This window comes from Homo sapiens, chromosome 10 (assembly GCF_000001405.40).
Source record: "Homo sapiens chromosome 10, GRCh38.p14 Primary Assembly".
Classification (NCBI taxonomy): domain Eukaryota; kingdom Metazoa; phylum Chordata; class Mammalia; order Primates; family Hominidae; genus Homo; species Homo sapiens.
This window is the reverse complement of record NC_000010.11, coordinates 77286304-77301243: the sequence shown is the minus strand read 5'-3', so window position 1 is coordinate 77301243 and position 14940 is coordinate 77286304. Positions and strand designations below refer to the sequence as shown.

Below are 14940 nucleotides of genomic sequence, written 5' to 3'. Positions count from 1 at the left end.
TTCTCATTTCCCAGCTTAGAATTGCCTTCAAGGTCTTTTTCTTTATCTCAGAACAACAAAGACACTGCCTGAGGAAGAACCTCTGCTTTATTATGGTGTTCTGCAACCTAAGTCAGTGAAGTTTTGATTCTCCTGGAAGAGGCTGGCCAGCTACTCATTAGCTGCAGGGATTGAGGGGATTTCAGGCATCAGATGGAGGTGGGGACAGACTGGAGCCAGAGTTCTTGATTCCACTGCATGTTACAACCATCTGGGGAGCTTTTAAAAATGCTGATGCCCGGGCCTCACTTCCATTAATGGAATCAGAACCTGTGGGGCCAGCGAGTGCCCTAGGATTTCTGTGAGCAGCTCGGGCTCAGAACCACTTGTTGGATGCTCCCTAAGGATCTGGCAAGGATTTTATGAGTTTAGGTTTGAGAGCACCTGAAGGAGTCCAGAGGGGCTGGAGAAGAAAGGAGATGGTGGCTTGGTAGGCACCTACATCCCCAGGGGTGCTGGTAGAGACTATGCTGCAAAATTACCCAGGAAGAAGTGAGTCTTTAACATTGCAGCCATTACTATGCATGAAATGGTAATTAAAAGACCATATTTTCTTAACTCAAATACGTTGATGAGAAAGATGCACCATTGATTTAATACCTGCTGTTTTGGAGGATGCGGTGGGAGAAAACTCTATTAAGTATGTATTAACATATGGACTGATTATAAGATCTCAGTTTCACAAATCATTTTATGTTGGAAAATGTGCTTCTTGAAACTGATCTAACAACATAATGATAGAGTGCCTTATATGGATTACTCTGCCTAGTCCTCACAACAACTCTACCTGTGAGATAGATGCTAACATCCTCCCCATTGTATGGGGGAGGGAGTTGAGGCACAGATTGAATAGCTTATTCAAAGTCACAGGTAGTCCAGAGCTGGTCAGTGATGGGACTGGAATTCAAAGTGTGGTTTTCAGAAGTAGCCCACAAAATGTAGTGAGATCCAAGGCTGTTGCTTTCTCAGGTCTCTTACCTTCCCCAGAGCCAGGGAGGTGGCTTTCCCTTAATCAGGGTACCGAATCTCCCAAGTGCAGGGGCGTCCTGTCCACTGGCTCTCATGCCCTGCACAGGGTACCTGGCTTAGGAAGTGAATGGGAATGAAATCTGGCTTGAAGTCCCTTAGCAGGCCCTGAGGCCAAGGGATTATTTTTTCTAATGCCACAGAGGCTCAGCATGAGCTGATGGAGCCCAGCCCAGGGAGAGAAGCCACACTGACTGGGCTGAACAGTGGACACAGCCTCCCTACCACGCCTGGTGGTTCTTTCACCTTTCTGAGCACAGCATGTTAGAGAATCACTCTATTGGGTTTGTCTGATGATACGGGACCAGGGAGAAGGAATTGGAGAGCCTTGTAGCTCTGGGGACCTTGATGCTATGCCTTTAGGACAAAAGCCCCTACTTCCCATGCCAGTTTGCCCCAACAGCATGGCAGAAATGGAAAAGGGGAGTGTAGGCTGAACAGGACCTTTGGAAAACACCAGGTTCTGATTTCCAGACCCTCGGTCTTCTTGTGCAGGCTTTCCCCCTCTTTGTTTTTCCCTTTTCTCAAATTCCTTGACGTGGTGGCAAGCTGAACCTCTTAGAGCTGCGTTCCAGAACAACCTGGGTAATGGAAAGTACAAAAACAACTTAAACTTGTTTCCAAAGCTTGATAGGTTACACCGACTTCTCAGAAAGTGTCCATTTGGACCCAAAATGTGAAATAACATTTTGAGGCACGTTGGAGGGGGGCCAGAGGGTTACGCAGCTGCAGGCGTGGGCCAGATGGGAAATCCAGATGCTGGCCTAGGGAGCAAGGTCCCTTCTGCTGCTCATGCAGGCTGTCAAAGCAGCAGCCTCCTTAGGACCCTCACTGCAAGCTTTAAAATGTTACTCCTTAGGGAGAATTTCAGATGGGAGGGAAGGCTTAATCAATACATGCAACGTTTAACTGGCATTAGAATGATGTTTTGTTTTGTTTCTTTTAATGGGAGATGATGGGTGGTAGTAGTAAGTCAGGGAGGGCGTTGCAGGGTGTGGTCTTCAACTTTCCCCATCTTTATCACATGCCAAAAGTTGCTCCATTTCAGCATGCAAATCTAAATTTAAATAGTCTTCTGGCTTTTAAGAAAGCCCCCTAGCTCACCTGTGCAGTACGACTGAACTACTATGAAACCAGCACTGGTGAACATATATGTGTGGAAACACAACAACAACAAAATCAGTTGTTCAAAAGACATATTTATTATTCCTTCAGCAGAGAGGCCCATCTGATGCTCTGGGGCGCAGGTCCCATGAATGTTCAGGGCAGTCTCTGCCCAGGCCAGCTCCTTCCCCGATTGTCCACAGTGATGATCTCTTACAGACTGTCCTGCCTGCCCTGCACACAATGGGAGCCAGTCTGGAGGAAGGTTTGGTGGCCATCACTCTGGCGGGCACTGGAAAGAACTCTGCTGGATGCCGAGGGCCATTTCTCTCTGGACTTGCTGGTGTTCAGTGTGGAAGTGGGAGGGAAATCAAATGAGGGGACCTTTGGGAGGTCACCTAATGTGGTAGGACCTAAACTCAGCTGGGTATTGGAATCATCTGGAGATTTTTTTTTCAGTTAGGGTGCCCCCTCCTGCCTTATCACCATAGATCTGCAGTGCAGCCCAGACATCCATTTAAAATAAGCTGCAAGTTTGGGCACGGTGGCTCACACCTGTAATCCCAGCACTTTGGGAGGCCAAGTTGGGTGGATCACCTGAGGTCAGGAGTTCGAGACGAGCCTGGCCAACATGACGAAACCCTGTCTCTGCTAAAAGTACAAAGATTAGCTGAGCGTGGTGGTGAATGCCTGTAGCCCAGCTACTCGGGACGCTGAGGCAGGAGAATCGCTTGAGCCCAGGAGGTGGAGGTTGCAGTGAGCCGAGATCACACCACTGCACTCCAGCCTGGGCGTTGAGAGTGAACCTCTGTCTCAAAATAAATAAATAAATAAAATAAGCTCCCCAGGTATTTCTGAAGGTTCAGGTAGCCTTTCTCATTAGCCCGTTCCCCAGGATTCTTCTCTCAGTCCTTTTTGTTGACAAGCTCTCTCTGGTTTAGCAGGGGACACAAGGTTCAATTATTGTTCCATTCTTACGATACAATTCTTGGATCTGGTTTGGATATAAATGTCTAGGTTGCCAGTTTCTTGACAACTTCAAGGGCCTTGAAGTTGACTGGTGAGGAAAAGGCAAAGTAAATGCCTGAGGGATGGATACCAATTGCTGTCCCCAGGTTTAGTCAGCAACTTTTGCTGTTGCTCCTGGGTCTACTGTGTGCACTCCTTTGAGGGCCAGTTATCACACAGGTCTCCCTTTGGGTCTCCATCTTGGAATCCAGGCAGGAGAAATTAACCAGGAAATTAAAGACATCTTCCCTTCTCCACTCCTGTCATGTTTAGATCTTGGGAGTAAGGAGAGGAATGGGAGAGCAAACATAGCTTGGCTGGAGAAGGAGGTGGTTTTGATCTTTTCTTCTCCCCTTCCTTTCATAGGTAGAGGTCGTCTCCTTTATACCATCTGTCTTGGGGAGTAGTCACATTAATTATGCGTGTATTTAGAGCTTTACAAGCCTTGCCACCAGACGTGTGTAGTGCCTTACAGTTTACCAAATAGGTTCACATACTAATCTCTTTTGACTTAGTGAGATGATGACTCAGCTGGTTATAAATCATCAAAGCAGCACCATGGACCATGCATGACAACCATGGAGCTAGGGCAAAGCTGTTACTTGAATGAAGGAAAATGATAAAAGCTTATGTTCCCTGAGCCGCAAAAGAAAATAGCCGTAAAATTTCCATTGAGGCTTTTTCTGTTATATCTTTAGCTCTTTAAAAATCTCATATTGAAGATACCTAAGAAGTTTGGCAACAATGTCCTGTAGATGAAATGTGGGTGGAGCCAATTGATTGGGCTTCAAGTTGCATAATGTTGGGTATGGTGAGGCTATTTGGTTTGGCTCTACTCTTGGGACAAGAGACAGTGGGAATGTGTCCTTGTTTTGTAGTTCTCTGGAAGCCAGAGGAAGGTTATGATTATAAATTTAATCTCTCAGTTTTCTCTGTGTCTCAGCCTTCTTCACAGGGGGTAGGACCTCCGTCCTCACAAGTTACGGGGGTGGTCTCAGCTTCTGGAGCAATGAGGCAAGTCTGCACCCTGTTGGATGTCTTGGGTACAACCAGATTAATGATTCAAAGGCTGGGGGAAGTCCAGGCTCACAAACGGCTTTCCCAAAGCTCCAGAAGGAACTTTGTTCTTCTCTACATTCCCCCACCGCCCCCCCGCCCACACACCCAGGCATTCCTCTTAGATTTTATAATCTCTTTGGAGCAGATCGGCAGGTAGGACCTCTCATCTGTTTTTTTCATACCGCCATGTCATCAGCTTGATAAATGAGACAGACACATGCTAGAGTGGAGATAGCATTCTGTGAAGAGCATAGTGATGAGGCCAGATGGCTGCCAAGCTCACCCCAGTGTGGGTCTGGGATGGCAGTTCTATCCAGGAGACTGCTACCATCAGACCAACTAAGGGAGATGTTTTTCATACATCAGCTTTCATTGGAACTGATAGTGTTATGGAAAATCTGTCCTGTCCCCAGCAGAATGATCAATCAAGGGTGATGAGCCTCCACTTGGGTAAGCATGGCTGATGGTCCCCCTTCTGACACATGAATTAGTTGGTTTTAAAAGGTTTACCTCCATATTAGTTCCCTGTTGCTGCTGTAACAAATTACCACAAACTTAGTGGCTGCAACAATATAAATTTATTGTCTTACAGATTTGGGGGGTCAGAATCCCAAATCATCTCACTGGGCTAAAGTCAAAGTGTCAGCAGGACTGGAGGCTGGCTCTGGGAAGACTCTGCTTCCTTTCCTTTTCTAGCCTCTAGAGACTGCCTACACTTTTTGGTCCATGGCCCCTTCCTCACATCACTTCTTACTTTTGCTTCTGTTGGCACATCTTCTTCTCTGATTCTGACCCTCTACCTCCCTTTTATAAAGACCTAGTGATTACAGTGGGCCCACCTGGATAATCAAGGACAATCTCCCCATTTCAAGATCCTTAACTTAATCACACCAGCAAACCCCTTTTGCCATGTAAGGTCACATATTCATGGGTTCTTGGGATTAAGATACTGGCATCTTTGAGGGTCATTATTTTATCTACCACAACTTCCAGTCAGTGATTTCTCGGTTTATTTACCAGAGCCTCAGGGAGCACTGCATTTTGCCCTTTTACAAAATTACTTTTAAAGAGATTAAGTATGTACTTGTAAAAATAAAAAAAAGTTAATTTGTTTGAAATCATATACTTTAAAATATCTCTTCATCCCCAGTTTCTAATGCCCCATTTTTCCTTCCCAGAGCTGAAAACTGTTTTTTTTTTTTTTTTTTTTTTTTTTTTTTGAGACGGAGTCTCGCTCTGTCGCCCAGGCCGGACTGTGGACTGCAGTGGCGCAATCTCGGCTCACTGCAAGCTCCGCCTCCCGGGTTCACGCCATTCTCCTGCCTCAGCCTCCCGAGTAGCTGGGACTACAGGCGCCCGCCACCGCGCCCGGCTAATTTTTTGTATTTTTAGTAGAGACGGGGTTTCACCTTGTTAGCCAGAATGGTCTCGATCTCCTGACCTCATGATCCACCCGCCTCGGCCTCCCAAAGTGCTGGGATTACAGGCGTGAGCCACCGCGCCCGGCCTGAAAACTGTTTATTAACAATCTCTAGTGTACACTTTCAGTGAGAATCTATGCACATACAAGCGTATGTGCACACATATATGCGTGTCTATGTATAATTTTCCCATTTAAAAAATGATGGTGCACTTTCACACTACTCTCTTTTTTTTTTTTGAGACCGAGTTTCACTCTTGTTGTCCAGGCTAGAGTGCAGTGGCATGATCTCGGCTCACTGCAACCTCTGCCTCCGGGATTCAAGTGATTCTCCTGCTTCAGCCTCTGGAGTAGCTGGGATTATAGGCATGCACCACCTTGCTGGCTAATTTTTGTATTTTTAGTAGAGACAGGGTTTCACCATGTTGGCCAGGCTGGTCTTGAACTCCTGTCCTCAGGTGATCTGCCCACCTTGGCTTCCCAAAGTGCTGGGATTACAGTCCTGAGCCACCACACCCGGCCTCACACTATTTCTTAATGATCTATTCACATCAGACCTATATACCTGCCTTTAAAAACAGCTACAACATATTTTTACTTTGCATTGGTGTATCCAAATATATGTAATTGGGAGCCCCTTATCAATAGATTGTTTCTTTTCTTTTTTTTGAGACAGAGTCTTGCTCTGTTGTCCAGGCTGGAGTGCAGTGGCACAATCTCGGCTGACTGCAACCTCCACCTCCTGGGTTCAAGAGATTCTCCTGCTTCAGCCTCCCAAGTAGAGGGGATTACAGGCGTGTGGCACCAGGCCTGGCTAGTTTTTGTATTTTTAGTAGAGACAAGGTTTCACCATGTTGGCAAGCCTGGCCTCGAACTCCTGACCTCAGATGACCCGCCCACCTCAGCCTTCCAAAGTGCTGGGATTACAGGCGTGAGTCACTGTGCCTGGCCCTGATTGTAACATTGTTTCTAATCTTGTGCTGTAATAAACAATGTAACAGCAAATGCATTCTTACATTGGTCTTTGCACACATGTGCCAGTGTATCTATGGGGTAAACTCCTATGAATGGCATTTTTGGGTCCCAGGTTATGTGCACCTTAAATAATGATAGTTGTTGCTGCATTGCCTTCCAAGATGTATATATGAACATATGCTTAGAGACCATGGCACCTGGGCCTGGTCAAACACCATGCTCAGCAGGGCTCTGCCATGTTATTCACTAATAGCTCTGGGGACATCTCATTATAGTTCTGCCTCTGACAAGGTCCACCCTCCAGGAAATAGCTCACTAGTTGGGGGTTAAGTCAAGGATGATAAGTACACCCATTGGGTGAGCCACTGCAAACCTGGGCCCAGAGTTGAAGCCAGGACAAACATGTTCACTAGAAAGGCTATTCATTAAACATCATATTCCAAGCTATTCTGTCAAATTCTAGGGACACAGCACTATGTCTTCTTGAAAACCTCTGATTTCTTTTGTCTGTCCACGTTGCTGGAGCTAGACAGTGTCGAGACTTTGATTTGAGTACCGCAGTGGCGGGCTATTCTGGGAGGAACAGACCTGAAAGAGGCAGCACATTTAGCAGAGACTGCAGCCACACCGGCTGGGGCCAGGGTGCTTGGATGTGACACAGCTATTGTTTGTGAAAGAGATTTGATGCTTCATTAGAGAAAAACTGTGTACAGAAACCCGGCAGAGATTTCTTAATGGCATTCTGATTAAAGGAGCAAACAACCTAAATGCCAGATTAGTCGCATTTTGGGAAAGAATGCATGATGGGGACTGCATTTCTATTTCCTTCTTTCCCTCAGCCTTGCTTGGCAGCATACATTTGTCACTTTGAGGACATGAGAAAGGGGCTCTCTGATGTAGCAGAGAAAGAGCTGGAAAGCAGAGGCATGGAAACTTTCAGCTTTCTGGCAGGCCAAGGGGAAGGTTGGAGGTTCTGATACAGTGTCTGCAACTCCCAGGGTCCAGAGATAAAAGTCTAGACGGTCCAGTGGATCACCTTGGAATGCAAGGCTATGTGGATGTGCATCAGTCCTTTCACCAGGAACCTTCCAGAATGGTTAAGAAAGGAACCCACAATGCCCCTTAGAGTCAGGGCTGTCATGCACATGAATGGTTACCTCTTCTGTACCATGGCCTCAGAACATGGTAGAGCTGATATCAAGGGAACCACCGTTTCTCCCTCAGAACCATGCTTTAGGAGCTATGGTTGTCCCCCCCATTCTTGTTGTGCAAACTCATTAGGAGGGGTAGCTCTCTCTTAGACCTTCAAGATGGGGATATGCCTGGACAGGGTGAGGCATTAAGGGTCTCTCTTTATAAACAATGAGGAAAATTCCCTATACATTGGCCAAAGTGATCTTTTTAAATGTAAATGAAATCAATTGTAAGTTCCAAACTCCTTCCCATGGCATTGGCCCCTGACACATCCCCCATTGCTCAGATGCATTGGCCACATTGGCTTCTGGAGGCTCTTGAAGCACACCAAGCTAGTTCTTCCTGGGAGACCTTTGACCTACTGTTCCCTCTGCCTGCCATGCTCTTCTCCTGGCCTTTCAAAGGTAGATCCATTGCGTTCTTCAGATCTCAGCAGAGATATCCCCTTACCAGCTGATATAGCTCTCCATCCCCAAATCCTGCCACCTCGATGCTAATTTCCTTCATAATCCTAACATGATCAGGAACTGTTCTTATTCATGTATTTGAATGCTTACTTGCTTATTGTATTCCTGCCCACTGGAATGTAAGTTCTAAGAGGGCAGGGATCTGGTTAGTCAGATTCAATGCTTGTAGAGGTCAGAACCCAGCCAGGAAAACAAAGTGGCTCAAGAGAGTATATTTAATGTAGGGAACTATTACCCTAGCATCAGAAGAGTGGAATGGCTAAGTAGGTCACTGTAGGGCAACCCGGAGGTTGACAAGAGAAAGGAGCTGGGGCCTGGAAGGACAAAAAGAGGAGGTGGTATCATGGAGGAGACCTAATCATGGCTGAAGAACAGACAGGAGAGGGACAGGTTCCAACTTCTCCCTTCCTTCCGCCCTCTGGGCTTTGCCCAGTGCTTCCACTGGCCAAATCCAGTATGATCCAGTTGGCAACAGTGCCAGAAAACATAGTGGGGGCCGCCCCTGTGATTAAGAATAGAGCAGGCAATAGGTGGGGAATTCATCTGAAAACACTGAAATGACTGGTGCCTTGCTCTATCTCCAGCTGTCTTGACACATACTAGGTCCTCAGCAAGCAATTGTTGGATGGATGAATTAATGGAACGCACCACTCCAAAGGAGTCAGCTTTCAGGTCAACTCTAATGGAGTGGATCCCTAAGAGGGAAGGGCTTTGCAGGCTGGGTTTAACAGTGGAGACTTCCTGAGGCCCGGCGGGGTCTCAGCCGGCTGTGCCTTCTATCTCTGCTGCCCTGCCCAGAGGAGGATGAAGGATTCTTATCTCTGGAAATAACCCTCTTTCATGAGCCCTTTAATCTGAGCCTGCTGACACTTTTATATGTGCAGGGTTATGTTACTTGAGGAATTCCTTTGAAGACAATTTTAAACTTTCATCCCTTAGTTCAATTTTAAAGTTTGTAACATTTGGGACCCTTCTCAGAGCCCTGAATTTACTCCTGGCATCAAGATGTTCAGGGCAGAGCTGAGCTGGAGGGGAATTCCGCATTCCTAGTGATCCTTAACTGGTGCCCCTGGGGAATTTATCTAACATACTGGAGCCTCCACTGGTCTGTAAGGCAGAATTAAGAACACCTTGAAAGAACATGAAAAAATGAAATAAACAGCCCAAGTAAAGCACCAGCACATATGAGGCACTTGAAAATGTTCACTCCTTTTCCCCCAGACGCTGGGAAATAGTTCAGATGCCCCCTATCCCAGGACCCATGAAGCAGCTCACCGCAGCCTCTCTATGTTGATTTTTAGATTTCCTTCTGTTGATTATTCTCCACGGAAGGCGACTGGAGCAAAAGAGGTGGTTGGCCACCCATTAATACATCTCCTTCTTATTGGGACATTTCGCCCTGCTAAAGGAGTAATCATGGATTTTCTGTGAATTTTCCTTTAAGCGTTTTCTGTGTTAAAAAAAATTGTAGTCTGCCTAAACTGATTTATGTGGGTAATTTATGGAGTACCTGTTTTTCTTTTTTCTCTCTTCCTTTTTCTTCTTGCTGAGGTGGTACCTTTGCTGCCTCATCCCTGGAGTTTTGCATGAGAGTTGAATTTTGAGCTGCAACAGTTTTTCCCATTTAAGTGTTAGAGTTGACTGGTACTTTATCAAAGTTCCGTAAGTACATTTCATACAAGAAATCTCAGCAGGTTAGAATCCGGGGACTTTTTATTTAAACCTCTAATGACAGTGATACTGGCCTGTAATTAAGGCATTTCTGGAAGTTACTTCAATTGACTTGCAGAAAGGAAGGCAGAAACCCTTGGAGGCTGGTACTAAATTCATGGGGAAGAGAGGCACGGGAAGCTGTGGTTTGGGAGGAGGGCTCATGTGTAGCGTGGGGCATATGTGTGTGCTAACTTTCCTGGGTTTCTGTCTGAATTGCTAATATGACATTAGGTGAAAGGCATCTTGTCAAGAATGCTGCATGTCTGGTGGACTTCCTGAATATCAAATCTCCGAGCCTTCTTTCCAACTGCCCCTCCTGGCCAGCCTCATGAGACACTGATGAGAAAAATGCCACAGCTTTCAAAACAGTTAACCTCTCCTTTGGCAATTCACAGCACTGGGTTTATTCAAGCTTACGATGACACAGAATTTTCCTCCCTTTGAAAAGTACTGGTTAAGTCTTTCTGTCTCCTGCCCTTCAAAAGCAGTCATTGTGTTTGTTTTTTTCAGAGGTACCATCAGGGTTGTCAGAAAGTGGAATTTCCCGCCAGATCAGAATTTCTTCAGCCTTCATTCATGACCTGAGTACTTTTGGTTTTGAGGGACAAACTTGCTCTATTTTGAGCACTGAAGGAAAACATCTAACTCCCAATTATGGGTCTGTGCACGTGAATAATTGGGTAATGGGATTAAAGTGCTTGAAGATACAACCCTTCCTCAGGTGCCCCTTTTCACACATAAGGAAAGTGGAGTACGAAGGGCACTGGCTCACGGGAAGGAGTGGTGGGGACCCCAGGCCTTCAGTCCCTCATTTAACAAGGTTGTAAAGTCTGATCTGACTTCTTACTGCAAGCACCGCTACTTCTATGACATCCTCCATGCCCTTTTTATTTCAAAAGCAGTTTAATATGTTATTTCATTTAATCTCCACTGCAACTATTTCCATTTAAAATTTTGTTAGATAATCAATAGTGCTCTAAATATGAACCAATTTGGAAGAAATATGAAGAAAAGTCATCTTTTAGAGACAACCCAATTCATGGGCCTTGTAAACATTTTTATTTTTTAGGTAATCATAAAATAAAATTGACTTTTTAAAAAAATTTGGTGTGTAGGTCTATGAATTTTCACAAATGTATGGAGGCGTGTAACCACCACTATAATCAGTGGAACTGTGCCTTTACCGCATCGAACCGCCTCCTTCCATCTCTAACCCCTGGCAGCCAGGGATCTGTTTTTCATCACCATAGCTTTATCTTTTCAAGAATGTCAAATAAGGAGAATCCACAGGATGTGGCCTTTTGAAACTGGTTTCTCTTATGGGCTTACTTTTTTTTTCTCAGTTAGAACTTTTATTTAAAATCAACAATCAATTGAACTTGCCTATTTGCCGAACAATATCTACAGGTAGAAATTTGCAAGAATAACTCTGGATAAGCATAGTAGGCCATCTATTTCATCATGAAGGAAATTTTTGATGTACTATTTTGAAGACTCTATTTACAGTCCCTTATATTTAAACTATATCTATTAAATTAGTGTTATATTGAAATAGCCATTAAAACAAAACAAAACAAAAGTCTTACATGGACCAGGCACTTGTGAAGTACTCTATTATTTCATTTAAGCAAATATACATCCTTTATGGGTCATCTGTGTCATTTTGTTATTTACTCCTCTTGTACAAGCTTGGCAGGGTTTGAGTGGTTCTTTAAAAGAGAAGTTGGTGATAGGGAGGGAACTTCATTTCTGTCCCAGATGCTGACACCTTGTGGGCCCTTGGTAACTTCCGCTGCTGTCCATTTCCCTCATGTAAGGGCAGATGGCATTTGCATACCTGGAGGGACGCCGGCTGGAGTTACAGATGCCTGCTGATGATTGGAATGTTAGGGACTTAGTGACATGTGCTGTAGTCATGGGGTCCTCTCAGACACTTAGGGCATGCAGGCCTTAGGGGAGCCCTGTGCCTTTGGGGCTGGCTGATGCTGGGGAGTGGGACTGTCTGCTGGGTTCAAGGTGGAAAGGGAACTGCTCCTGTGTGGTTTGCCTGCCAAGGAGCTAATTAGGAGAATGGGTTTGGTGATCTTGATCTGACAGCCAATGGGAGACTTCCTGGGGAGCTGGAGGAGATAAGCCTGTCAAGAGGCTCCCAGCTGTGTTAGGGCCAGGATTGTCATTGCTGCTAGGCAGGGCTTTGGTCCTCCCAAAATGAGAGTGAGCAGATTGCAGCATTCTTTCTCATAGCACCAAGGAATCATAGACTCCATGGCTAAGTGAGGTGGAACCAACCACATTGTGTGGTCAGCCAGTGCCAACCTTTCTTCTTGCCTGGCCTTGTGGATGGTGTTCACTTTTGAGATGCAAACTCCAGGTTATGTTATGAAACTCCACTTCTTTGTCTCTCAAAAAAAGCTTGTTAAAATGCGAGTATCAGTAGCCTTTTATTTCAAGCCTCAGATCTCCTCTAATCAGGCCATCAATTGGCCATACTGATAGCTATTATTAACCATTATTGAGAGGCACTAGATTATGAAGAGTTGAGTAGTTAAAAGCAGCATTTCTGGAGACAGACCACATGATTCCTAGTCTCACCTCTGCACCTGGCTGGCTGGGTGACCCTTGCATGTTGTCAGCCTTTCTGAGCCTTGGTTACCCCACTGGTAAAATAGGGATGATAATAGTACCTCCTTCACAGGTTTATTGTGAAGATTAAATTAGTCAATACATGTAAAGCTACTGACAGATACCAGCCTTTGGTTGTAAGTTAATTTTGAGGATTCTATATTCGGCCACCTCTGCTACTCTGTCATCACATTCAGATTGAGAACTGCTGATCAGTCTAAGTCTCACAGGGAATAAAGCTGAGGTCTACAAAGGCTCAGTGATGTACACAGGCAGAACCAGAACTAGGAGTGTCCCTGGACCCTTAATCTCTTCACACTGCAAAGCAGAAAGCTGGTGATCTGAATAAACTGTTTGCTCTTGGGGACTTTGCTAACTAGAAATCTTTATTAACTTGGACTCTGATTTTATTGTCAAGGCAAGAATAAGCAATTTTTAGATCAACAACTCCAAGTCACTGGAGTCACTTCAGCAGAGTTTCAGTGTTTAGTGTGATTTGCTGTGCCCATTTCTCTGCATAATGGCCTTCCATGCATGTATGAGGGGAAGTCCATAGTTAACTGGAATGCATGCGTAGGCAGAGCTTTTTGTTTGCCAACCAGGAGTGATAACGGAGTTTATTGCCACTTGATCCCCTCTGCCAGCCCATCTGGGTCAACTTGTTTTTCTCTGGTGTTTGCCCTTTCCATCAAATTGTTCCAGAGACTAACAACCTGGCTTAGTGATGACAAGTGTGTTAATAGTGGAGCTCAAGATAAGGCAGCAGTAACTCTGTTTGCTCTGAGAGTTTGCTGCCTGCCTGCTGAGTGATCCAGGGACTTGTCAGCCCTTTGAGTTAATGTGTGTGAGGTGCTGGATGCAGAGAAGAGCACTTGGTGTGCTTTCAGCTTGCACATGTGTCTTGGTGCTCAGCACTCCCCATCCCATGCCAGGAAACCTCTCTCTCTCTCTTTGCAGGAGATCCTCATGCCAACTCCCATCTAAAAAATGAATGCTTGTGATTTGGAAATACTTTTTCATAGATGCTCAGAAGGTGTTTAGAGTTTTGGCTTTTGCTTAGTTCACAAACCAGGTAATTCCCAGTTGTCCATATGAATGCTCTATAGTCAAATTTAGGATCCCAAATTGGCTTCTTTCATCACTGAGCAAGCTTCTGGACTAGACAGTCTCTTCTGTAATAAAATTGCTAAAGTGAATGCAACAGGAAGGAGAGGAGGAATTTGCAATGACCTCTTTGTGTAGGTAGATAGTCTGTGCTTTCCTGATGCAGGCTCCCTTAACATGAGGATTGTGTATGGGGCAGTGACGTACTGCTTCTGAATTATCCATGCAAAATGTTTGGCTCTTTGAGTGTGAAGCAGCAGCAGTTGCTTGTATTTTCAGACAAGGGTCTCAGTGCACGGAGAGGACTCCCTCCAAGTGTTGTCTTTGCATTTCCATTCATCTTATTAGAGCAGTGCAAACCCTGATGCATGAATGAACTGGGTTTGTGGCTGAATGAGTTTGGATTTGCTGAGCAGGCTGATTCAGGAAGTTGTCCTTGATTCCCCTGCTGTTTCCCATGTATACACACCCTTCCTAAGTGAATGTGGCATTTGTATTGGATGAAGGCCATAGCTCAGTATGAAACGTGATTATATGTCTACTCTAATCCTCAACAGGCAATGCTTTCCACTTAGGGTGTTTTAGAGGACATGTGTACCATTGGACTTGCATGATATTTGGGTCAAAGGCATTTATGGACAGAGATGGAAGGTATGATCTATCAGCTTAGAAACTCAACCTCAAGAGAGAGGAGGGTGTATAAATGAGGATGCATAAAGTAAGAATGGAACCCCCCCCCCCCCCCCGCACACACACACACACCGTCCCTAGTCAAATTTGCAAAGACTTACGGATATGCTAATAAGATTGCTGCTGGCTAGGGGAATTCACAGGTCTGCAAATTCTATGAATTCTAATGCCTCACTCAGCAATTTTAAAAATGAATGGACTGGAATTAATTGGGAGCCTCCTTCCATGGGAATTTTGGAAGTATTCTTAGGTATCACAGAACACTGTCTGTTTATGCATAAAACTCCATAAACTACAATGGAAATCACTCTAGATAACAACGTGAGAGATGGGTATTACCAGGGGCATATGGCGTAATTTTAGGTGGTGGCCTGACCCAGCATAGGATGACACAGACTCCAATGAGGAGAGGGTTATGTTTTCTTTTACATTCTCTTTAACACAGAGAGAATGTCTTCCCTAGGTTCTACCAGGTCTTTAACACCTCTCTAAACTTTGGCAATCAGCCTCCGCTCTCAG

General features: G+C 45.1%; 1 protein-coding gene across 56 annotated transcripts in view, besides 1 other annotated feature; it reads left to right on the top strand.

Moving 5' to 3' along the window:
- KCNMA1 (potassium calcium-activated channel subfamily M alpha 1) overlaps positions 1 to 14940 on the top strand; it is a 768207-nt gene that overhangs the window by 336565 nt on the left and 416702 nt on the right. The window lies entirely within an intron of this gene.
- Positions 2188 to 2390: a silencer, noted in NCBI's record as "fragment chr10:79058612-79058814 (GRCh37/hg19 assembly coordinates)". NCBI's record gives its function as "represses an EF-1alpha promoter that drives an FKBP-Casp9 reporter gene in an ReSE screen in phorbol 12-myristate 13-acetate-treated (for megakaryocytic differentiation) K562 erythroleukemia cells {active_cell/tissue: K562(+PMA)}" and the evidence as "EXISTENCE:reporter gene assay evidence [ECO:0000049][PMID:32094911]".